Source organism: Homo sapiens, chromosome 13 (genome assembly GCF_000001405.40).
Source record: "Homo sapiens chromosome 13, GRCh38.p14 Primary Assembly".
In the NCBI taxonomy this organism is placed as follows: Eukaryota; Metazoa; Chordata; class Mammalia; order Primates; family Hominidae; genus Homo; species Homo sapiens.
Window position 1 is genome coordinate 110,545,574 of NC_000013.11, and position 23,259 is coordinate 110,568,832.

General features: G+C 49.0%; 1 protein-coding gene across 1 annotated transcript in view, besides 6 other annotated features; it reads right to left on the reverse strand.

Annotated features, from left to right (window-relative positions):
• Positions 1-16,149, reverse strand: part of RAB20 (RAB20, member RAS oncogene family) — a 38,657-nt gene extending 22,508 nt beyond the window's left edge. Inside the window, exon 1 of the mRNA NM_017817.3 lies at positions 15,775-16,149. Coding sequence (NP_060287.1) covers positions 15,775-15,946 — 172 coding nt within the window. The 5' untranslated portion in view covers positions 15,947-16,149. The remainder of the gene's footprint in view (positions 1-15,774) is intronic.
• Positions 11,821-12,344: an enhancer, noted in NCBI's record as "H3K4me1 hESC enhancer chr13:111209741-111210264 (GRCh37/hg19 assembly coordinates)". NCBI's record gives its function as "activates a minimal SCP1, AML or CMV promoter by ChIP-STARR-seq in primed H9 embryonic stem cells {active_cell/tissue: H9 hESC(primed)}" and the evidence as "EXISTENCE:reporter gene assay evidence [ECO:0000049][PMID:30033119]".
• Positions 12,345-12,867: an enhancer, noted in NCBI's record as "H3K4me1 hESC enhancer chr13:111210265-111210787 (GRCh37/hg19 assembly coordinates)". NCBI's record gives its function as "activates a minimal SCP1, AML or CMV promoter by ChIP-STARR-seq in primed H9 embryonic stem cells {active_cell/tissue: H9 hESC(primed)}" and the evidence as "EXISTENCE:reporter gene assay evidence [ECO:0000049][PMID:30033119]".
• Positions 15,709-15,768: a silencer, noted in NCBI's record as "silent region_5503". NCBI's record gives its function as "represses an Ori minimal core promoter by ATAC-STARR-seq in GM12878 lymphoblastoid cells {active_cell/tissue: GM12878}" and the evidence as "EXISTENCE:reporter gene assay evidence [ECO:0000049][PMID:35858748]".
• Positions 15,709-16,278: a biological region, named in NCBI's record as "ReSE screen-validated silencer GRCh37_chr13:111213668-111213857".
• Positions 15,748-15,937: a silencer, noted in NCBI's record as "fragment chr13:111213668-111213857 (GRCh37/hg19 assembly coordinates)". NCBI's record gives its function as "represses an EF-1alpha promoter that drives an FKBP-Casp9 reporter gene in an ReSE screen in phorbol 12-myristate 13-acetate-treated (for megakaryocytic differentiation) K562 erythroleukemia cells {active_cell/tissue: K562(+PMA)}" and the evidence as "EXISTENCE:reporter gene assay evidence [ECO:0000049][PMID:32094911]".
• Positions 15,829-16,278: a silencer, noted in NCBI's record as "silent region_5504". NCBI's record gives its function as "represses an Ori minimal core promoter by ATAC-STARR-seq in GM12878 lymphoblastoid cells {active_cell/tissue: GM12878}" and the evidence as "EXISTENCE:reporter gene assay evidence [ECO:0000049][PMID:35858748]".

The window sequence follows — 23,259 nt, forward strand, 5'->3', positions numbered from 1 at the left end:
CACTGAGTGTTCACTCTACACACATCAGGATATTAAAACTAGAAGGAGCTTGGAGATCCTTGTGCTGAGGTGGTGACTGAGGTGGACACATGGGCCCCCAGAGCTTGGGCAAGTCTAGAGAAGTGCATCAGTGCCACCTTGGGAAGATGATAAAATTCCTGCACTCCCCCTCAAAAAGAAGGAAATACAAAGCAACATATAAAAAGGGCACAATAGGAGTCTGTAAAATATGCCCTGTAATGTTAAGGACCTCTTTACAGTCCTTCGTTCTCTATTATTAAGCAATTAATGACTAGAGCCTTGCTGTGGGGGAAAATGCTGCATTTACTTCTGAGCTCTACATTCCTGTTTCATGATCTGACTCCACAGAAACACCGTGGATCCTGTAGTCTTCACCCAGAAGCCAGGACCAAGCATACAGCAAAGCAGATGAAAAGTCAATGTCCAACCAGAGCCATTCCAATCCATAATTCTGAAAGTGATTCCTTCACATAGCAGAGAAACCCCATGAGATAGGCACCAAAAAAAAAGCCTCAGCCATTTAATCCTTATCACCCTTTACAAAAGCTAAGGGAACCTATGATGTGCCAGGAGAAAGAAGATGACATTGCATTACTGAGAGTCGAGAACCATGCTGGGCTCCCTGCACATCTGTCATCTTATTTAAGCTTCATAACTGTCCCTGGAAATAAGGTTTATTACTACAGTTTTAAGAAGACATCACTGAGACTCAGAGACAGGATCATATCTTCATTTTGTTTTCTAAAAGTGTTCCAATTGATTCATCTAAAAAGAAAACCTGCTGATCCCAAATACAGCTGTGAGGGAAAGGTACAACCCTAAATTCACCTATTTGGGCAACATAAGTCATTTCAAGTTATGCCATGAGATGGTAGCGTCCCGAAAGGCAGTTCCAACCCACAAGGAAGCACAGTCACACATGAGTCTTCCATTTCTAAGTAGAAATGCCTCATTTTTTATTGATGCACTCAGCGGCTCTGCAGGCCACCCTTGGTCTGTGTGACAGGGCCACTAAGCGTGTGTCATGGCATGGTGCTGGGTGACACCCAGGCTCACAAATCTTAACTGACCTGGAGCATCTGTGAACAGTACAAGCTGAACTTCTGTTTTTTTTTGTTTTTTGGGTTTTTTGTTTGTTTGTTTGTTTGTTTGTTTGTTTTTGAGACAGGGTCTCACTCTGTTGCCCAGGCTGGAGTGCAGTGGTGCAGTCACAGCTCACTGCAGCTTCAAACTCCCAGACTCAAGTGATCCTCCCACCTCAGCCTCCCCAGTAGCTGAACCTACAGGTGTGCACCACCATGCCTGGCAATTTTTTTTCAATTCTTAGTAGAGACAGGGTCTCGCTATGTTGCCTTGGCTGGTACCTATCTTCTGACTTCAAGGGATCCTCCCGTCTGAGTCTCCCGAAGTGCTGGGATTACAGGCGTGAGTCACCACGCCTGGCCAAGCTGAACTTCTGTACCACAAACAATAGAAAGTGTTCCTCCTTCTCAAGGACTCATATGTCAGAAGCCTGGAATGCCGCCAGTCAAGGCCAGGAAGCTGACTGTTGCGCCAAATCACAGCGGTCTACACGGCGCCTCCTCTAACCAGACTGTCCTGAACTAGAGCAGCCAAGGTCAGGGAAGGGAACGGACCCCTGCCCCAAACACACTGAATCAGCTGGCTCTGCATAAATGAGAAAGCGCAGCTCAGACACGAGGCGCAACAAGCTTCCTATGTGAATGAAGTGCGCTTAATTCTACACGGGGAAAGCGTTAACAGGAATCTTAACACATTGATCTCGTTAGTGATGAGACAGGCCACAGGTTGAAACTGTTTTTCATTTACTATCGTTGGGTGCAGCAGGACTTTTCTAGTTCACAGGCACCCCATGCACGAAATAGAACGTAGCCCGATGTACATTTATTACCTTGTGTGAGTGAATGCATACTTGGAGCAATTCCTTTCCAGTTCCACTCTCACTTTAGGATCCAAGTCACTTCTACGAAGGACACAGCAGGCTGGTGAGATTAAGTGCATAAATCCTCGGACAGGTCTGCCCAGATCAGATCCCCACTCCACCACTCCTGGAAAATAACCTTGCTACCTGCTACGGTGCCAGAGAGGATTAAAGGAGCTAAAATGGGGAAGCGTTTTGCAGAGCCTCTGGCACATATTAAGTGTTGTGGAAGCATCGGCTATAATTTAAGGCCAAAGCTATAAGGCCAAAGTCTGTAGACTGGAACCTCAGTCTTGGGAAGCCTGCATGACCCCACAAGCTAATGCTAATCAGCCTACACAACAGTATTGCAAATAGGCCGTCCCATTTATTCTTTGTATCTAAACACTTACTTTAAAATATAGGTAAGCATTTCAGATATAACCTGGAGCAAAAAGTTTCCCATAGCAGGTATTCTATAACTGTGAAGCTACCACCAGAGCAACTCCTTATGCCGTCAAGGCTCTTAGTAATAAAATTGAGAATTTCCAAAATACAAATAGGAAACCTGGTCAACAGACTACAAAAATAAAAGACACTGTTATCCTCAAGGCAACTTCAGTTAGAATGCTACATCTTTTTGATCCAACAATTTTTCTTTTATGGATTAGAAAACACCATAATTCGGCCGGGCACGGTGGCTCACACCTGTCATTCCAGCACTTTGGGAGGCCCAGGTGGGCAGATCACTTGAGGTCATGAGTTCGAGACCAGCCTGGCCAACATGGTGAAACCCCAATTCTACAAAAAATACAAAAATTAGCCAGGTGTGGTGGTGTGCACCTGTAGTCCCAGCTTCTCGGGAGGCTGAGGCAGGAGAATTGCTTGAAGCTGGGAGGTGGAGGTTGCAGTGAGCCGAGATCACACCACTGTACTCCAGCCTGGGCAAGAGAATGAAACTGTCTCAAAAACAAAAATAAAAACAAAAAAAAACTCTTGTCATTCTGGAAATGTCCACAATTCAGTCTCACCTGCCTCCATCCTCATGAAGGCACCAGGGGAGCGCGGTGGGCTCACCTGATTTCTTGGTTAGGTCTGTTCTGTTCCTTTTTTATGCGGGGTCTGTCGGTGGGCACTGCTCCAATGTGAGGGGTCCAGGCTCCATCGTAGCCTCTTAACCAGCTCAGTGCCAGGAAGGGTGGACTTTGACAAAAACCCACCTCAAATCTGCACTCCCCAACCTGGAGTGCAACCTGTGGCAAGCTCCCTAGGCTCTCTGGGCCTCAGCTTCCTCATCTGCACCGAGAGGTGAGGATAACACCAAGCACACAAAGTGGATGCCGGAACAATGGACAATGCCAGAAGGCACTGAGTGTGATGTCTGGCACCCAGAAGCATGATAAATGCCTGCTGCTCTCACAGCCCAGGGCTCCAGCCAGGTAAGGGCTGGGTCCCTACAGAACCCAGAGGCCTGAACATGTGTGTGATGATTCCAAACTTCCCAGGCCAGTTTTTCATAGGACACTACCCTGACTTCCTTGCAGAACCCTAGCAGTAGGTAGCTGAGCTATTTCAGAGGCTTAAGACCAGTGTGCGGAGAGCGGTTAGGCCAGAGGGAGGAAAGACATCCGTTGCCATCAACATCTTGTGAGTCCACAAAACAAATCAGCAAATATTTACAAAATGCTTTGCTTGGAGCTACAAGCTTAGCTTGGTCTGTGTTAGAATATAAGCTACTAAAAGTTAAGTGTGTTGATTTGTATCAGCTTGGGTTAAGCAGGAAGGAATATTTCAGACAAAAGCTGAATTCTTGAATGCAGATTCATTTTGCCTGTGCCCTTTGGCATTTCCGAATTTCTAGCTTCTTCAGCCCTGAATCTGGAATCCAGGGAACTCACCACTGTGTCTTTTCATCCACGGTTCCTAGCTCATGATTCTTACAGCCATTGTTACAATCTATTGTTATAATGTTGGGTGCCTTAGGCCTCAGGAACAAAATCTTTCTCTCTGACCTTCTCCTGTCCTCCTTTCACCTGGCCCAGGCCGGACTCTAATCTGATTGTGGGTCATTAGACCCTCCTTCCAGAGAGGGTCCTGCCCCATACCCTAGAGGAAGGAATGCTGCAGAGAGGCCTGGGGAATCTGAACAGACAGGCCTTGCTGGGCTTAGACTGCACCCTTTTTATCCAATCACACTTTTTTAAATTTTTTTTTTTTTTAATTGAGATGGAGTCTTGCTCTGTTGCCCGGGCTGGAGTGCAGTGGCACAATCTCAGCTCACTGCAACCTCTGCCGCCTCCTGGGTTCGAACGACCCTCTTGCCTTAGCTTCCTGAGTAGCTGGGACTACAGGCACGCGCCACCAAGCGCAGCTAATTTTTGTATTTTTAGTAGAGACAGAGTCTCGCCATGTTGGCCGGGCTGGTCTTGAACTTCTGCCCTCAAGTGATCTACCCTCCTCGGCCTCCCACACTGCTGGGATGACAGGCCTGAGCCACCACACCCGGCCTTTCCAATCACATTTTGACATGATGCCCATGCCTCAACCACAGACAACCAATGAAGTCTCCATAAGAAGCCCAGAAAACAGGGTTCAGGGAGCTCCCAGAAAGCCGAGCACATGGAGGCCAACAGGAAGGTGAAGAAGAACTCACCCCCATGCCACAAGGGCACCCCAACTCTGTGGCACCCCAACTCCATGGACCCCAACTCTGTGGCACCCCAATTCCGTGGCACCCCTTCCAGACCTTGCTCCATGTGTCTCTTCATGCGGTTGTTCATTTGTATCCTTTGCAATATCCTGTCTAATAACTAGTAAACAAACATAAGCAACCGTTTCCCAGCAAATTAATTGAACCCAAAGAGGGGGTCGTGGGAACCCCCACCTGAAGCCGGTGGATCAGAAATTCCAGATGCCTGGAATTGCAACTAGGGGGAAGGAAGGGGTGGTCTTGTGAGACTGAGCCCTCACCCTGTGGTATGAGACGCTACCTCCGGGTAGATAGTGGCAGAATTAAACTGGAGGACACCCAGCTGGTATCCACTGCTCGCTGTGTGGGAAAAACCCTACACCTTTGCTCACAGGAGTTTCCTGTGTCAATGATGGCTGTGGCGCTGTGAGAGCAGAGGAAAAACTCGGGTTTAGAGTTTTTTCCTGAAACACATTCCCGAGGTATCTAGTGGATCTGCCTTCTCCTTGCCACCTTCCAGAGTCTTATGTTTGCTTTTAAGATAAAATCCAAGGTTTTGGGCTGTAATTAGAGGGAAGAGTAGGGGAAAATACATCTTTTCCAACTTCCCAGAAACACAGTCCTGGTATGTTAGTCTTTTTAATAGATTTGCAATGATATTGAACTCAAAAGAAATCAAGAGCTACTAAAGAAGTTTTTTAGGATACCATATAATTAATGTCCCAGACCCACAGTTCCCTACCACGCACACAATGGCCTATTGTATCACAGCACTCAGGACAATGATATTTCCACACTAATTTTATCATTCAGGGTCAATACATCGCTAAGAAAATGAAACTGCTAATGTCAGTCTGTGAATTTTCCCCACTGCTTTCAAAAGTTTCCTTCAGCAAAAACTTAGTTTCAAAAATATCACAGAGCAAAACATTACATTCTATGGAAAACTCCAAGTGAGTAAAACCCAAGGAGTTTATAAATCCAAGGAAAGAAAAAGAGATCAGAAAAACAGACAACCAGCAGTATGTACTATGGGGTGCAAGGTCACTTTGTAGCAGTTTGGTGGAAGGAGGAATTCTTCCCTCTGCTACAAAGACCAAGAAATGCTTCACTGAAAGATGGGATAAAATTCAAGCTGGGCATGGCCAGAGACGCTGTAAGCACCTGTGAGAACCGAGCAAAGACAGGGCACACAGGACGAACTGCAAATCGTACATCAGGGCTCAAGTGCCAGCAGGCAGATAAGAGGAGTGATAAGCTGGGGAGTGCTGGAGGGGCTCTGAGCAGGGAAGGTGACCAGATCCAGGAGGCCTGGCAGAAAGACCCCTCAGTGAGGTGCAGAAGAGACAGCACCAGGGAAGCCAGGGTTGAAACGAAGCTGGAACCTGCCTGGGCCAGCGTTCGCGGCCAGCTGGACCATGGAACTCTGTCGTCGCAGTGATGAATCCATTATCCTAAGAATCAACAGCTGTTTAGGCGTGTGTGTTTGTACGTGTGTGTATGTTTGTACAAAATTTATTTTTCTTGGAGAGGGATGTTATATGAAGTCTCAATACAGAAAGAAGGGCAATTTGATCTGGCATCATAAATTTTCAGCCAGGCATGGTAGCTCATGCCTGTAATCTCGGCACTTGAAGAGAACAAGCAGGGACGATATCTTGAGCCCAGGAGTTCAAGACCAGCCTGGGCAACATACTGAGACCCCTGTCTCTACAAAAAAAAAAAAAAAATACAAAAATTAGCTGGGTGTGGTGGTGCTGTAGTCCCAGCTGAGAGGTGGGAGGACTGCTTGAGCCCACGAGGTCAAAGCTGCAGTGAGCCAAGATCACAGCATTGCATTCTAGTCTGGGTGACAGAAGACGACCCTGTCTCAAAAAATAAATAAATAAATAAGACGGGCGCGGTAGCTCACGCCTGTAATCCCAACACTTTGGGAGGCCACGGTGGGTGGATTGCTTGAGGTCAGGAGTTCAAGACTCGCCTGACCAACATGGTGAAACCCTGTCTCTACTAAAAATACAAAAATTAGCCGGGCATGGTGGTGGGCACCCATAATCCCAGCTACTCGGGAAGCTGAGGCAGGAGAATCACTTGAACCCAGGAGGCAGAGGTTGCAGTGAGCCGAGATCGTGCCAGTGCACTCCAGCCTGGGCAACAGAGTGAGACTCTGTCTCAAAAAAAAAAAAAAATTAAAAATAAATAAATAGGGCCAGGCGCAGTGGCTCACGCCTGTAATCCCAGCACTTTGGGAGGCTGAGGCGGGTGGATCACAAGGTCAGGAGATCGAGACCATCCTGGCTAATATAGTGAAACCCCGTCTCTACTAAAAATACAAAAAATTAGCTGGGCGCGGTGGCGGGCGCCTGTAGTCCCAGCTACTCAGGAGGCTGAGGCAGGAGAATGGCGTGAACCCAGGAGGCGGAGCTTGCAGTGAGCCAAGACCATGCCACTGCACTCCAGCCTGGGGGACAGAGTGAGACTCCATCTCAAATAAATAAATAAATAAATAAATAAATAAATAAATAAATAAAAATTTCTATTTCTCCAGAGAGCTTAAAGATAACAAAGCATGAAATTGTCTCCCAAAGGCATTCAGTGTGACTCAGGTGCTCGTTAACAAACACAGTTGACCTTAATTAAGTTTCTCCTGAACCACAGTGCACTAAAGAGCCTGCAAGGTCCCCTGGCACCCCAGGATTCCCAGGCGCCACTCCAGGAGGCTGTGGGCCGAGCCTCCCAGCGCACACTGCTCGCAAGCGGCCACTGTGCTCTGCAATCTCCGAGTATAATGTCGCTTTGTCCACTCCTGCTGAGGCCAGGACAACCAATTAATTCTCTTTCCCCCATCTTAATACCCACATTCATATTCAGGCCACTGTTGCTGGTCAATAAAGCAGAGGGACTCTACAAATGAGGCCTTGCACCCAGAAGGCACCTGTTCGAAGTCCTCAGTAGAGGTGACCATGTGGACCCACATGTGCCTGGGGTTTTGCAGGTTGACCTTCCAGATACAAACCTTAACTGGCATTTCTTCCAAGATCTTTTGTTCAGTAGGAGCTGGTGTTCATCTTAAATCCACCCTCACTCCACTCTAGCTCAGTACACACACACAGTAGAAACTTGAGAGCTGCTTGTTGAGTTGAACTGAATCTTGGTGTCCTACAACTGCTGAATATTAAACCTTTTTAGAAGCGTCTATACCTATGGGAACAGACTTTTAGAGAAGCATTGTCTCCTTTACACAACCCAACCAGGGATCAGCAAATGTTTTCCGCAAAGGGCCAGATAGTAAATATGTTTGGCTTTCGGTGCTGTCTGGTCTCTGTTGCAATGACTCAACTCTGCCATTACAAGGTGAAAGCAGCCATAGACAATGCATTTAAGTGCATGCATGTGCATGTGGCTGTGCCAATAAAACTTTATTTACAACAACCAGCAGCAGGCCTGCGTCAGGCCCCAGATCTGTAGAAAGACCATGTGATTGACCAAATGGTCTCCAGTCACACAAACACTAATTGTCAGGCTGAGGGTCACCATATTAAGGCCTCAAAAACCACTCAGAAGCCTCTCCCGACTGAGGCTAAAATAGAAACTAATGTAATAGGAAAGCCAGCTAAAATCTGACTCCTGGCTGGGCGCAGTGGCTCATGCCTGTAATGCCAGCACTTTGGGAGGCCAAGGTAGGAAGATCACTTTAGCCCAGGAGTTCAAGGCCAGCTTGGGCAATGTAGCAAGACCCCGTCTCTACAAAAACAAAAATTGTTTTTTTAAATAAGGGTGCACACCTGTGGTCCCAGCTACTCAGGAGGCTGAGGTGGGAGGATTGCTTGAGCCTGGGAGTTTGAAGTTACAGTGAGCTGTGGTTACCCCACTGCACTCCAGCCTGGACAACAGACCAAGACCTTGTCTCAAAAAAATTAAATAATTATATAAATAAATAAAATCCCCCTGGCTCCACGTGTTTTGCAGGCTGTGCATTCACTTTTGCACCAATCTCTCAAGGCTTTTAAAAAATGTGCAGTCCTCACACAAGTCAAAAGTGCCGAATGTCAGCCAGCCATGGGGTCCCTGCCAAAGAGAGCTGCTCTCCAGGCCCACCCACAGCATCATCACAATTCCAACCTGAAGCAGCAACACATATGACACAGCCTCCACCCCATTCCGTTAGGAGCAGCTGTCATGTGGCTGGGGGCTGAGGTTTGTGTGTGGACTGGAAGGAGAGAGGTGGGGGCTCGCGGTCCTCTGAGCTGAACTCTCCCTCTCATTCGGCACCTTCACCCACAAGCCACCTTTGTCCTTCACAAAAGCCACCTGGGCTCTGCCTCAGACAGACAGCAGTTCACAGCATGCAGGCCAATCTCTTAGCTAACTTCACGGGAACGAGCACTTACATTCTCCCTCCTCCAGGCCCAAGATTTCATAACCAGAAACTCCAGCATCCTCTCCTGGGCTGCACTGCAGTTGTTCAGGTAAAGAGAAAGCTCTTAAACCAATTGCTCAGAATCTTGCCTGGGGCTTAGGAAAGAGCCTGCATGAGCGAAGCAGCATCTTCATTTGCTGCAGAGCCCAGCCTGGGTTCACAGCACCTCTGAGGCCAGAGAGGGCCTGGAGAACCTGAGATCCTAAACCCATCACGAGCCTTTCCTTGAAAAATCCTTGCATTTCGGCTTGGGAGGGAGGGACCTGATCCACTGAGAAACCCGTACTCTAGGTCCTGAGCCAAGCAGCATCCAGACCTTGGGTTCCCAAGGGCAGGAAGACCAAGCTGTGAAGCTGAGCGGCCCTGGCACCGTGTCAGGGAGCGACTGTGGGAGCCGCCTCCCCTCTGTAAGATGCTGCTTCCCAGTCTGTAGGACGGCAACGTTGACGCCTCCCAGGAGGAGCCTTGTGAAAAGGATGTAGCCCGGGAGTATGGAGCCTGCACAGAGCCTGGCACGTGGCAGGGACCCACATACAGTGGCAATTACTGTAAGTGTTGGAAGCACGAGTTTCGGAGGCAGCCCGTCCTGTTACACACAGGCCACACCTGCTCTCCCACCACAAACCTCCAACTACTCTAACGCGCCGGAATAGAACTCAAATGAGGCTTGAATTCCTCTTCCACGTGACAACCTTCCAACACTCAAAAACTTCCTGGGACTGGGGCTCCAGTCCTCTCCATTCCACACCACAGAGTCCCCCATTTTCTCAGTCCTGCCTTTTGTCACACAGATTCCAGGGCCATTGCACCCTGATCCCTTCTCAGGTGGCTCAGCCATCAGCATCCTCTAAAGAGGCCAGAGGCTGGGCCCATCTCTCTTCCACATCTTTGCCGTCCACCCGTCCTTGGGTTCTGGCACCAAGAACATTGGGGTCTGCAAGGCTCATGCCAAAGCTCAGACTTCTAGTTGAGACAGACAGAGGAACTGTTTCCTCGCAGCTTGGGCAGAGGACGCCACGGAAGCGCAAACGTGAATCAGCCTGTGCCTTCTGCGGGTGAAACCAGTCATCAGCCGGCCCCCTGCTCGACTCCAAACAGCAAAGGAAGAAATTCAATATGGCCAGGTCTCCCAGGTTGCTGAGCCCTTGGGTGGCAGATGGCGACTTTTATTCTCACTCTTTACCACGGCCACCGCGAGTGCCCCCAGCCTTCCCTCCTCTCGCCGTGGCCTCCCCATTTATTAGAGACTTGTTTGCTAGGGGCCCAGCTGAGCCTCCCTCCTCCCTTTGTAACATGCCTGCTGGTGTAACCTCAGTGACAGGCACCCAAGGCCAGGAGACAATGTTTGTTTAGCAAAACTCACATGGTACTTCCTCATTCTGGCCACTGTTCTGAGAACCTTGCCAGTGTTAACTGGCTGACTCCTAACAAAGCTCAGACAGGTGCCCCTTTCTTCCCTTATTACACAGGAGGAGCCTGATGCAAAAGGAGGTGACACAGCCACAGCCACAGCTGTGGTCGGCAGATGCCCTGATCTCCAGAACCTGTGCCCTCATCACATGGGTGAGGGACGCTGAGCCTGCCAGTCAACCACCCTGAAAACAAGGGCCAGGATGGATCCCACAAAATCACAGGGGTCCTTTAAACCCTTAGAAGAGGGAAGCAGAGGGGCTGGTTCAGAGGGATGCTGTGTAGGACAGACCTGACCTGACTGCCTTTTCGGAGAGAGGATAAAACCAGGAAATCAGGCAGGCTCCAGAAGCTAGGAAAGTCTAAGAAACAGGTTCCTCCCTTCAGCCTCCAGAAAGGAATGCAATCCTGCAAGCTTTGACTTTAGCCCAGTGAGAGACTCATTTGGGACTTCTGACCTCCAGACTACTTAAAGACAATATATCTATGGTTTTAATTTTTATTTATTTATTCATTTGAGACAGGGTCTTACTCTGTTGCCCAGGCTGGAGTGCAGTGGTATGATCATGGCTCACTGCAGCCTCAACCTCCCAGGCTCAAGAAATCCTCTTACCTCAGCCTCCCAAGTAGCTGGGACTACAGGTGCGCACCACTACACCTGGCTAACTTCTTTATTCTTTGTAGAAACCGTCTCCCTGTGTTGCCCAGGCTGGTCTTGAACTCCTAGGTTCAGGTGATCCTTTCACTTCAGCCTCCTAAAATGCTGGGATTACAGGCAGGAGCTACCATGCCCAGCAAATTTGTGTTGTTTTAAGTAACTAATTTGTTATAGCAGCAATAGGAAACTGACACAGACTTTGGAACTGGGAGCAGAGAGAGGCTGTCACGAATATGGAAGTGGCTTTAGAACTGGGCAATGGCAGATCTGGGAGGATCTGAGGATCATGAGAGGGCAGCCCGGATTGGCCTAAACAGATGGTTGGCAGGAAGGTGCACATGAACAGCCCTGCTGGTGAGGAATCAGAAGGAAGCGAGAAGCATAGCAGAGAAAACCTGCATCCTCGTAGTGAACACCTCCACCAGAAGGAGCCAATTACAGGTGGAAGCCTGGGGTCTGAATGAGGACTGTGTTATCAGAAGCTGGAGGAGGGAGGATGTGGTGCCAGAGAGCTCAGCTGAGTCGTGCCCCACAGCTGTGAGGGAAGCATCACTGTGTGATGAAGTTGGATATGTAGCTGAGGAGATTTCCAAGCAAAGTGTTGAAGGTGTGGATTTTTCTTGCTGTTTATATTAAGATGAGGAAGAACAGATAGGATGAGGGAAGAATTGTCGAACAAAGAGGAGCAGGACTTGGTGATGTGGGAAGTCCTCAGTCAGGCAGATTGCTGGGAGGCTCACACTAGGAGGCCCACCATCCGGAACGCCTGTGCTGGAGAGGAGGCCCTGGTGTGGCCACATAACCTTCTGCTGGTGCCTCAGAAGGACCCAAAGGCCAGAGGACTCTCAAGAGACCAAGATGTCTCATCTTTGCGGTGGCCACTATTCTGTCTGTCACAGCCTGGCTTCAGGCTCCCACAGACGTGCATCCATTCCACATGCAAAATGCACTCACTCTCTCCAACACCCAGTCCCCAGAGACGCAGCTGGAGCTGGATGCCGGCACAGGGAAGTGGCGCAAGTCTGGGCTCCCCGCCGCCTTCCAAGCTGGCTCTTCAAGGGCCAGGTGCTGGGGATGCAAACGTGAGTCAGGTAATGCCCCTGCTCCCCCCGCCTCCCGGCCGCCAGGCCACGGCCTTTAGAAGGGAAGGAAAACAAATGTGGAGAGCATTCTGTCTCCAGGGCTCTGGGGACCAGGTCTGTGCTGGGCACACCAGCCGCTTTCTCATCAGCCTGTCGTATTTTCTTCAGAGCAACGATCAGATGTGAAGCTGTACCATTCACTTCTTGCCTGCCTTTCCCCCTCCTCTGGAATCCAGGGCCTGCGGGGCAGCGGCCAGCCGGCCTGCTCACTGCTGTAGAACGAGGGCCCAAACAGTGCCCGGCACCGGGGAGCCTCAGTTTATATTTGCCAACAACAGGCAACACCACTTTAGGCTGTCCTGAGCAACCGGGCAACACAGAGGAGCACAGCAGTACGTCTTCTAGGGCTCTGCCTCCTCGCTGGGCAACCTCCTTTTGCTTCCTGGATGTACCCACCCATGCACAGCAACCACTCCACATCTGTGTGCCCAATTAGACAAGGGCTGGGAGTGGCAAGTGCCCCCTAAAAGGGCATAATGAGACAAGGTGAGTTGGAGTTGGATGAACCAAGGTCTAAATCCCACTTAACTTCTGCTGTCTTCCCACTTTTTTTTTTTTTTTTTTTTGAGACAGAGTCTTACTCTTGTCACCCAGGCTGGAGTGCAATGGCGCAATCTTGGCTCACTGCAACCTCCGCCTCCAGGGTTCAAGCGATTCTCCTGCCACAGCCTCCCAAGTAGCTAGGATTACAGGCGCCAGCCACCACACCCAGCTAATTTTTGTATTTTTAGTAGACACGGGTTCACCACATTAACCAGGCTGGTCTTGAACTCCTGACCTTAGGTGATCTGCCCGCCTCACCCTCCTAAAGTGCTGGGATTACAGGCATGAGCCACCGCGCAGCCCTGTCTTCCCATCTGTTTTTTTTTTTTTTTTTTTTTTTGAGACAGAGTCTCGCTCTGTCACCGGGTTGGAGTGCAGTGGCACAATCTTGGCTCACTGCAACCTCTGCCTCCTGGTTCAAGCGATTCTCCTGCCTCAGCCTCCCGAGTAGCTGGGACTACAGGTGTGCGCCACCACGCCCTGCTAACTTTTGTATGTTTAGTAGAGATGGGGTTTCACCATGTTAGCCAGGATGGTCTTGATCTCTTGACCTCGTGATCCACCCACCTCAGCCTCCCAAAGTGCTGGGATTACAGGCATGAGCCACCACGCCTGGCCCCATCTTTAACATGCAAATAATCACACCTCCCTCTGGAGGACTGTTGTGTCAATGGAATAGGGTAATGTACTTCTGCCCTGCCAACTCTCTTCCCCCTCTTCAGCTCCATCCACTGCCTGCCTTGCAGGCTACAAGCAGCCAGGCATTGGGTGTACACTGACCCCCATGCAATCGTTTTTACTATTAAACATCCTGTCGCCCTCTGCACACCTGCACCCCCACCCCAGCCCACCCTGCCTTGTGTGGCTAAAAGCAACTTTCAAAATGGTTCCTCCTCCGGCTGGTCCTTACCATTCTGCCTCGGTTATGACAATTACAACAAAAACAACTTGAAAAGCAATGTCTGTGGGGTGGAGAGAAAGTTTAGGAGCTCAGCAAAAGAAGGAAAAGAACAGGGTCCCCTAAATGTTAAATTCTGAATTTCCAACAATTATAGAAAAGGTATCTGTTCCTACCTCTCTTTTCCCTTCAAGTACCCGGTCAGGCCACAGGCCACCGAGGAGGCAGGCAAGGGTGCCCTGTGTCCCTGCCAACTCTGGGCAAGGGCCGCCTGAGTGTGTACACAGGAAGTCAGGAATGTGGAGAAGGGGCCTGGCCACTCTCTGTTCTGAGGAGCTCTAGTAATTCACCCTTAGGATCTTTCGAACAAGCAGCAGCAGCCTCGGATGCCAGGAAATGAGCTGCTGCCCCCCAGTAACGCTTCAAGACATCTGGGGCGTCACATCAGCACAACTGCAAAATCTCTGGTGATCAGGATTCCGGCTGCATCACGTCCTTGGTGCTGAAGAAGCAAGAGGCCAGTGGAAACGAAACTGCTGCTTCATTCCCTCCGATGCAGGGGCCGTTCCAGCACTGCAGGGCAGCTCTTGTTCCAGAAACACACCGTGTGTTAAGAGTCTGCCTCCAACGGTGGCCACTACAGGGGTTTCGGTTAGGGTCCCCCAATAACACTCCTGCATTAACCTTGCTACTTGTAAACCAAGGGCAGCAGTAAATCCCAGCCAACCAGCAAAAGCAGCAGAGGGGCAAAGCTTTGTACAAAACCAAATTGGGTTCAATTTGACTTTGTACAGAAGCAAATTGGGTTCGTGAATTGGGTTCGATTTGACTTCTAGAGCGTGTGTTCCATCGTTACCAAATGCTCAGTGTGAGGGAGTCAGCTCAGTAAACCTCATCCTGCAGCCTGAGGCAGAAGACAGAGTTGGAGCAAAGATCAGGGAAATGCACCTCTTTACCTGGGGGACATTGTTTTCACAAGATGATTGCCAATAAATTAGTCACGATGTTAACTGGGATAATAATAAAAAAGCATCAAAGAAGGCAAAAGGGAGGGGGAGAACTGGAAGTACCTCTGTGAGCTTCGTTAATTCAGTTTTAAAGAGAGAATTCATTATCATCTTGTTTATTCAGCATACTGATACACCCAAGATGGCAATTTAAGAATTCTGGACGGGGCCTTTGGGTATATGACTTTTTAAGATGCTAACATAAAAGAAGTCAGAACTTTCAGAGTTTCAGGCTTCTAAAAACTCACACTCATTGAAAATGTGTCACACTATTTCCAGTTTCTTCATTCACTTACAATATCTTATTCTTTTGTAAGGAGAAGGAAATATATTCCATTGCAATGCTACAATCACCAGTGTTATTTTCCAAAGTTAAACAGAAAGCCTGAATTGAGATCCTCTAAGTTGTACTTTTGAAAAGTCACAAATACTACACAATAAAAATAACTCATTACCTATCTTAAAAATGCTTCCACCGGAAGTCACTCCAACCCAAACCCATATGACGTATCTGAGCCAAGATCAAGCAGAAGATTAACTGTAAAAGGCAGATATGCTCCGGGCTAAGAGGTCCGGAGGCTCCAGTTTTATTTCCTCTCTCCTGACTAAACCCAACAGGGGGGAACACTCTGTGCCTCATTTTACTTTTTCTTAGAAAGGGGCTAATAACACCAGCTCTGCTCACCCCTCAAGTGAATCTCAAAGGATATCATGTTCCTACGGGTACGTGAAAACTGAAAATACCTAACAAAGCAGCCACAGAGGAGCGTCTCTGGTTCCCAGGGCGGCAGAGCAGGAACGCGGGGCTCGGGAGCAAAGGCAGCTTAGGTACACAAATGACCAGCGGGTTCTCTGCAACTTGGGTTGTCCCTGAGGTCACTGAGTGGCTGAGAGGCAGCGCTCAGCCCAACCAGCAAGGGAGGACGAGTGGGAAACCCCGAGAAGGAGGCATTTGCTGTCCGAGGCCGGGACCCTGTGCGCGGCCGGGTGCCCTGCTGGAAGCCCCGCGCCCCCCGTCCCCGGCGGAGCCCCAGGGCGGTGTGGCTCATGCGGCGCCGGCCTCACCTGCGGTGTCCCAGATGGAGATGTTGTAGGAGCGCCACTGCTTCAGGTAGAAGGCGCCGCCCACCGTGCTGACCGTGTCCGGGAAGCGCCGCTCCATATACCGCTGCAGCAGCGACGTCTTCCCCACGTTCATGTCCCCCAGGAGCACGATCTTGCTGTCGGGCTTCCTCATCTTCCCGTAAGAACCCCCAGCGCCCCCGCGCCCTCTCCCCGAGGCTGGCCGGCTCGTGCGCCCTGGGCGCAGCTGGAGGAGCGGACCCCGGACTCGCCGGGACCCGGATTCTCGTGAACGCTCCGGGACCTTCGCCTCCGGACGCCCGGGAGCTCAAGAGAGGAAGCGCGTGTGCGCGCCCGGGAAGGAGCTGGGTGCAGAGCACGGAGCCCACGTCGGGGGCCCGGACCGCGGCGGCCTCGCCTCGCCCCGCCCCCGCCCCCGCCCCCGGGCCCTTTCACCGCCGCGGCCCCGCCCTATCCTCCTCCGCCCACCGCCCCCGTCCCGCCCCTGCTGGACCTCGCCGTTTCGCAAGCATCCGAGTTCTCCAGCCGAGGCTCGGGACTGCTGCAGGGTGGAAAATGAAAGTTCTGAGAGCACCTTCCGCCCCTCCGCTTCTGCACAGCCGGGGCTGCGGTGCGAGGAGCTTGGCCGCGGGGCCCGAACGAGGCGAAGGGGCCGGGGCCCTTGGGGAACCCCCTTCTCTCTTCCACTCTCCCTTAGGTAAAACCCGTGTTCCTCTCACGCTCGACCCAGCGCCTTTCCAGCTGCGGTCGATTTGCTTCTCCGCGTGTAAGTACAGCCACCCTCAAGGTCATTGAAAAAGTTTGCTTTAAATGAGCGTCTGCGGAACTCGTCCTGAGGCTCTCACTGTTACAGATTAGAGATGGGGGCGCTTTCTAGTGGAGGATTTTGCTTTTGCTCTTCTACTTTTGCAAGAAGCTTTTTGTCCTGAAAAGTGGACAGTCATCTCCATTTATAGCTTGGAATGAAAATTTGACTATGGAAGTTGCAGTCGCTACTTGAGAAATATTTCCTCCTTCTTTTTTTTTTTTTTTTTTTATTTTTGACACGGAGTTTTGCTGTTGTTGCCCAAGCTGGAGAGCAGTGCGCGATCTCGGCTCACTGCAACCTCCGCCTTCCGGTTTCAAGCGATTCTCCTGCCTCAGCCTCCCGAGTAGGCGGGATTACAGGTATGTGCCACCATGCCCGGCTAATTTTTGTATTTTTAGTAGACACGGGGTTTCACCATGTTGGCCAGGCTGGTCTCGAACTCCTGACCTCGTGATCCACCCGCTTCGGCCTCCCAGGTCCTCCTTCCGTTTTAAAGGATAAACCTTGAAATGCTTTTAAAATATGCAGCGTGTAGAATTTGGTTAGTTGGTTGGTTGGGGTTTTTTAGAGAAAATGAGAGGTAGAATGGACTCTAAGTTAAACCCTGGGGGACAGTGTCACTCTGGCCGCTGGCCTGGCTGGGAAAGGCGATGAGACCCTGAGCAGGTTAAAACCCGTGTCCTGAAGGTGTCCTGTAAAGGGAAATAGGCCCGTTGCCTCCTTCGTAGGTGCCCTGAGACTCCGACAAGGCAGGAATGCCAAGGTATTTCGTACCTGCTCAGCCCTGGCATGTCAGGTTGCTGAGACCGAGCAGTGTGGGGCTGAGGTGGAAGCGGACCTTCTGGGGCGTGGAAAGCGCACCAGGAGACCCCGGCTCCTTCTCAGCCAGCACTGCCTCATCCTCAGAACAAATTTAAGTCAATTCAGCATTTATTCAATGCCTGTTGCATGCAAGTGACAACCTAAATAACAGAGAGGATCTCTAAAAGAAACAGATATTTATTTTGCAATAGAGCTTTGCAGTAGAAATATGCATGCCATGGTAAACTTGTGCATATTCAGAGAGGCAAGGAAAGCAAAGGCTTTAAAAAAAATGAGGCGGATTGCACAATTGTTTGAAAATAATTATCTGTGGCTACAAAGATCCATAACGAAGGCGATGCCAGTTCAAAGTAGGACAGCCAGTGGCTGGGCCATGTCCTTGCAGGACTAGTTTTTTGTGGGAGATTGCAGTGGCCTTTGTGCAAGGTTGCGGTTTTTCCAGAGAGTCCTTTTTGTTATCAGGCATGCACGCGCAAGAACCCTCTCTTCATGGCCTTCCCCGGCTCTGTTTGTCAGGGTTTTCTTAACATTAGCGGCTCCATTTCGATTCTGACAATTTTCACACAAGCTACAGTGCCTGGCCTGGGACGACACAAACATGAGTCAGGTTTGGTGCCTGTTGGCCAGGCGCAGTGGCACACACCTGTAATCCCACCACTCTGAGAGGCCGAGGCAGATGGATCCTTTGAGCCCAGGAGTTCAAGATTAGCCTGGCAACATAGGGAGACCCCCGTCTCTATGAAAATTACAGAAAAAATTTGCCATGCATGGTGGTGTGCACCTGTAGTCCTAGTCCAAAGTTGCTTTGACTATTCTGGAACATTTACACTTCCATATGAATTCTGGAATCAATGTATCTAACCTCAGGAAACACATTAATGACATATATAGTTAAATTTAGGAAGAGTGGATATCTTTATAATATTAAAATGTCCCATTTATGAACATGGTATACCTCTCCATTTATTCAGCGGGTGTTCAAGGCTCACCTAGAATTTTTACACTTCTTTCTACTTTTTTACCATCAGGAAGTTTAATCACTTCCTGGAGCATGCTTTTTGATTCTCCAAATTTTACCCCCTGTCTGCTTCTCTCACCTGAGCTCTTTGTCCATTTCTTCATCCACCTACTAAGCCTTTCTACATGGATGTCTCAATATGGCAACCCACCACATCGTTCATCTGCCCTTCTGTAAATGCAGAGTCATTCATTCTTTCACCTTCTTTATAACCATATCCAATTCATCACCAAGCCCAATGGATTTTCCCTTCTAAATAAATCCCTCTAACATCTTCTCTCTCTTTTCCCACAGACGCCCACTTGTCTGGAACCTTCTTACACCTAAATAGTTAGAATCCACTCCTATTTGGTCTCCTTAACTCCAAGCTCCTGCCGTCCCAATCACTGTCAGACTAACCTTTCATAACCACTGCTTTCTCTACCCAGAGACCTGCCACGGCTCCCTACTTTCTATCTCCACAAGTCCAAATCCTGCCCCCCGCCACACACACACACACACACTTACCACCCTTTTTACAGTAGCTCTCCCGCCTCCTTTAGCTCCTGTTGCCCTGTGTGTGGCTTATTTACAGGTTTGATGGTGCAGTTTCCTTCTCTAGGGTGTTAGCTCCATGGGGAAGCAGCTTCTTCTGTGTTGTTCACCACTGTGCCTGGTGAACACCACTGCACCTAGCACACAATGGGCACTGAAGAAGGCACTGAGTCGCAGAAGAATGAATGAATTCCCCTCCCTGGTGAGGCCAGAAGCAACATCCTGTAAGCATATCATGACCAGCTATTCTCCACTTCATTGCTCACTGAGTTTGCCCACTTGAAAAGCCCTCCAACCCCTCATCTGTGCAGGTTTGGAATTCTGTGCAGGACTCAGGGATTCCATGAGGTGCAGCCCAGGCACACCCCCTTCTAATCCTCTCCCTCTGGGGAGACCTTTCCTGCTCCTTCATATGAGTTTCTACCACCCTGCTGGCCTCTTCGATGCAGTTTAGCCCCTGACAATGACTAACGGACTCATTTGACTCTCATCATCTCTAGTAATTTAAAAATTCCCTAGGGTCAGGGAGCAGGTCCTAACCTCATTCAACACCTCACCCAGTGCCTTGTCCCTTTCTCAGCACATTCTTCTACTCAGTAAATGTTTGAAGAAGCCTCATGAGGGCAGGAATCTTTGTGTTTTGTTTCTCTTATGTCTCCCAAGTACCTGGCCCTGGAAGGCAATTGATGCTCAATCAATACACATTTTAATAAATTCGCTAGTGAACTGAAACACCACCTGAAACACTGCTGCTTTTAGAGTTTGTGGAGGGAGGGACTGTTCCCTGCACCTACCCCAGTGACTGGCACCTGGAATTCACCGAGCAAGTTGGTTGAAAAAGTTAAAGGAATTTTCCAGCACTTTGAAAACTAAACCAAGAGAATGTCTCCATATCAAATTTCAGCCACTCCTTATAAAAATGTCTTAAAGGCTGTAAATCACCGTATTCACCTGCAGGAAGCAGTGTTGAGGAAGGAGGTAGTATAGGGTTAAGGGTCTATTTAAACCAGCTGCTTAGGGCCAAGTTAGATGTTTATTCTGTCTAGTTTAAACCACTGGCTTAACAGGGTACTTAATTTTCCAGTTTCATCAAAGAAATGTGCTGTGAGGCCAAGAAAATTATGTAGTTCATTTTTTTAAAAGAGATGCAAACTGAGAAATTCTGTGACCATTAACAGTCTCATTAAAGAAATAAGAAAATATGATTGTTTCTCTTAGATTTTGCAAAATGGCTAAGGAGCATTTTTAGACACTTTGTTGTAGAACAACTCTCTTTTAAGCTACTTTCCTCCTTTCTTAAAAACAAAATATAGGCCGGGTGTGGTGGCTCACACTTGCAATCCCAGCACTTTGGGAGGCTGAGGCAGATGGATCACCTGAGGTCAGGAGTTCGAGACCAGCCTGGCCAACATGGTGAAACCCCATCTCTACTAAAAGTACAAAAATTAGCTGGGCGTGATGGTAGGCACCTGTAATCCCAGCTACTTGGGAGGCTGAGGCACGAGAATCGCTTGAATCCAGGAGGCAGAGGTTACAGTGAGCCGAGGTCATGCCACTGCACTCCAGCCTGGTGGTCAGAGCGAGACTTTGGCTCAAAAAAAAAAAAAATGTATTATCCATTTATTATGTACTCATTCAGCAGATAGGAGCAAAAGCGCCCATTCTACTCTTAAGTCCCAACCCAGAAATAGAGCAGTGAGGGAAACTGACAGCATCCTGGGCCTCAGCACCTGCTGGGAGAAAGAGCCAACAAAATACACAGCAACACACAGGATATAGCACCCTTGGTGTTGATTAAACGCTAGATGAAGAAAAGGGAGGAGGAGACGGGAGGAATGCAGGCTGAGGCGGTGGCAGGGGGCTCCATTTTAAACAGGATGTCGACAAAGATAGAATTTCAGCGAGTGCTAGAATGAGGTAAGGACTTACATCAACAATCTGCCCGCACCATTTCTTCTTAGATTTCAGAAACTGTTTTCGTTTGATTCAATACTGGTGCCTTCCTTCGGTTCATTTTCTGTTTATCATAAAAATTATCCTAGGTCTTCAAAACTAATTTAATGGAATTGTATAGAAATGGAAATAAAAGTGACTACAAGCTTCAAAAAGGTAGATTTTGGGTATAAAGACAATCTTATATATTTTTTTCTTTTTCAAGACAAAGTCTCACGTTGTCATCCAGGTTAGAGTGTAGTGGCACGATCTAGGCTCACTGCAACTTCTGCCTCCCCGATTCAAGCGATTCTTGTGTGTCAGCCTCCTGAGTAGCTGGGACCACGAGCGTGCACCACCACGCCTGGCTAATTTTTGTATTTTTAGTAGAGATGGGGTTTTGCCATGTTGGCCAAGCTGGTCTCAAACTCCTGGCCCCAAGTGATACACCTGTCTTGGCCTCCCAAAGTGCTGGGATTACAGGCGTGAGCCACCATGCCTGGCCAAAGTGGTGAATTTTATATTAGTGTGGTTTTGCAGTGGCTAGGTCTGTGCAAACCTATCCCCAAAGGCCAAGGAAACTGACAGGCTGAATAAAGAGGCTGACATACCCAGTTTCCTAGAAAGAAACATTTAGGGCCAGGCGGGAAGACTCACGCCTGTATCCCAGCACTTTGGGAGGCTGAGGTGGGTGGATCACCTGAAGTCAGGAGTTCGAGACCAGCCTGGCCAACATGGTGAAACCCCATCTCTACTAAAAATACAAAAATTAGCTGGGCCTGGTGGTGCACACCTGTAATCCCAGCTACTCAGGAGGCTGAGGCAGGAGAATCGCTTGAACCTGGGAGGTGGAGGTTGCAGTGAGCCCAGATTGCACCATTGCACTTCAGCCTGGGCAACAAGAGTGAAACTCCATCTCAAAAAAAAAACAAACAAGAAAGAAAAGAAAAGAAACATTTAATAAAGATTGGCGAACAGAAGCCGTGTCTGTGTCTTGGGCACCCTTACCTGCCAGACGCAGGCCTTCTGTACTACAGCAAAAGGGTGACTCAGAGGGGATGTGCAAGGGAATTGAAGGACGATAACATCAAGGTTGTTTCAACCTAAGGACAGGATTTACAATGAGGACCTGCTCTTACTCAAGGAACAATAAACTGGAAATCCTAGAGGCCTTCCCAGAACTGGGGTTAGTCAGAAGTGAACCCGGCAGATCGCGTCCCAGGTGGAGCTGCTTTAGCCTCCGTATGTATATTTCACCCCCAAGAAAGGTTAAACCGAACTGACAACAGAGACATTCCTCTCTGTACCTCTATTCAATAATGAGGCACAGCAAACTGTAGAACGCATGACAACCACAGATAAGGAAAGCACTCGCACGGTCCTGACGCCATTGCCCACCCTGACATTCGTTCATGGAGGTCGCCTGCACATTCCATCTTATTCAAAGGGGTGGTGGAATGGGGTGGGGGGAGAGCATCTGCTATTATCTCCGGTCGAGTGCTAGAGGCTTGAGCCCACATCTGGGGTCTGAGAGAGGATCCTGCACTAGGAACTGGGACTTGATAATGGCCTCGAGGACAGCTTGGAGCGTAGAAAATATTTTTGGGTTCACTGACATTTTAACTATAATTTTATATAAGAACTTAAATCATCAAAATGGGGGATCCAGGACTCTGTCCTCTTTATGGGGCTGCTGGGCAAACTGACTCGCAGAGAGATGATGAGCCATAAACATCCACTCACAAGCGGGAGAAAGTCAATGGAGACCGTGTGGAAACCACTTCCCCTGCTTAAAAATCACCAAAGCCGTAATGATGGACAGTGAGACAGCAGTGACCCTCAGTATTTCAATGGGACGTGAATAATGTTTAATTGTATGTTCATATATTGCTTAACAGTTTTAGAAAATCTGTTCTTCTGCAGCACTAGCCTGCTCTGCCCATCCCAAAAGTGAGTGGTGCCTGAAGGAATTCTGAGCCCCTCTGTGAGAGGAAGCGCGTCTGTCTTTTCTTTACGACCCCGGCACTGAGCACAGGGCTTGGAATACTATAAGAAATAAACACATCTTTTAAAAATAGTGAAAAACGGAGAGAACATAATCAAATGCCCATGTTATTATTCACGGCACGAGTGTCTTAGAGAATACAGGTGTTTAGGGCTGAAGTGAGTCCCCCTGAGATTCATGCTGAATCTCTAACCCTCAGCACCACACACTGAGCCTGAGCTTGAAGAGGGGGCCTTGAAAGGGTGATTAAGTTAAAATTAGGTCACTGGAGAGAGTCCTAATCTAATGTGACTGGTGTCTTTATAAGAAGTAATTAGGACACAGACACATGGACCAAGGGGCAGCCAT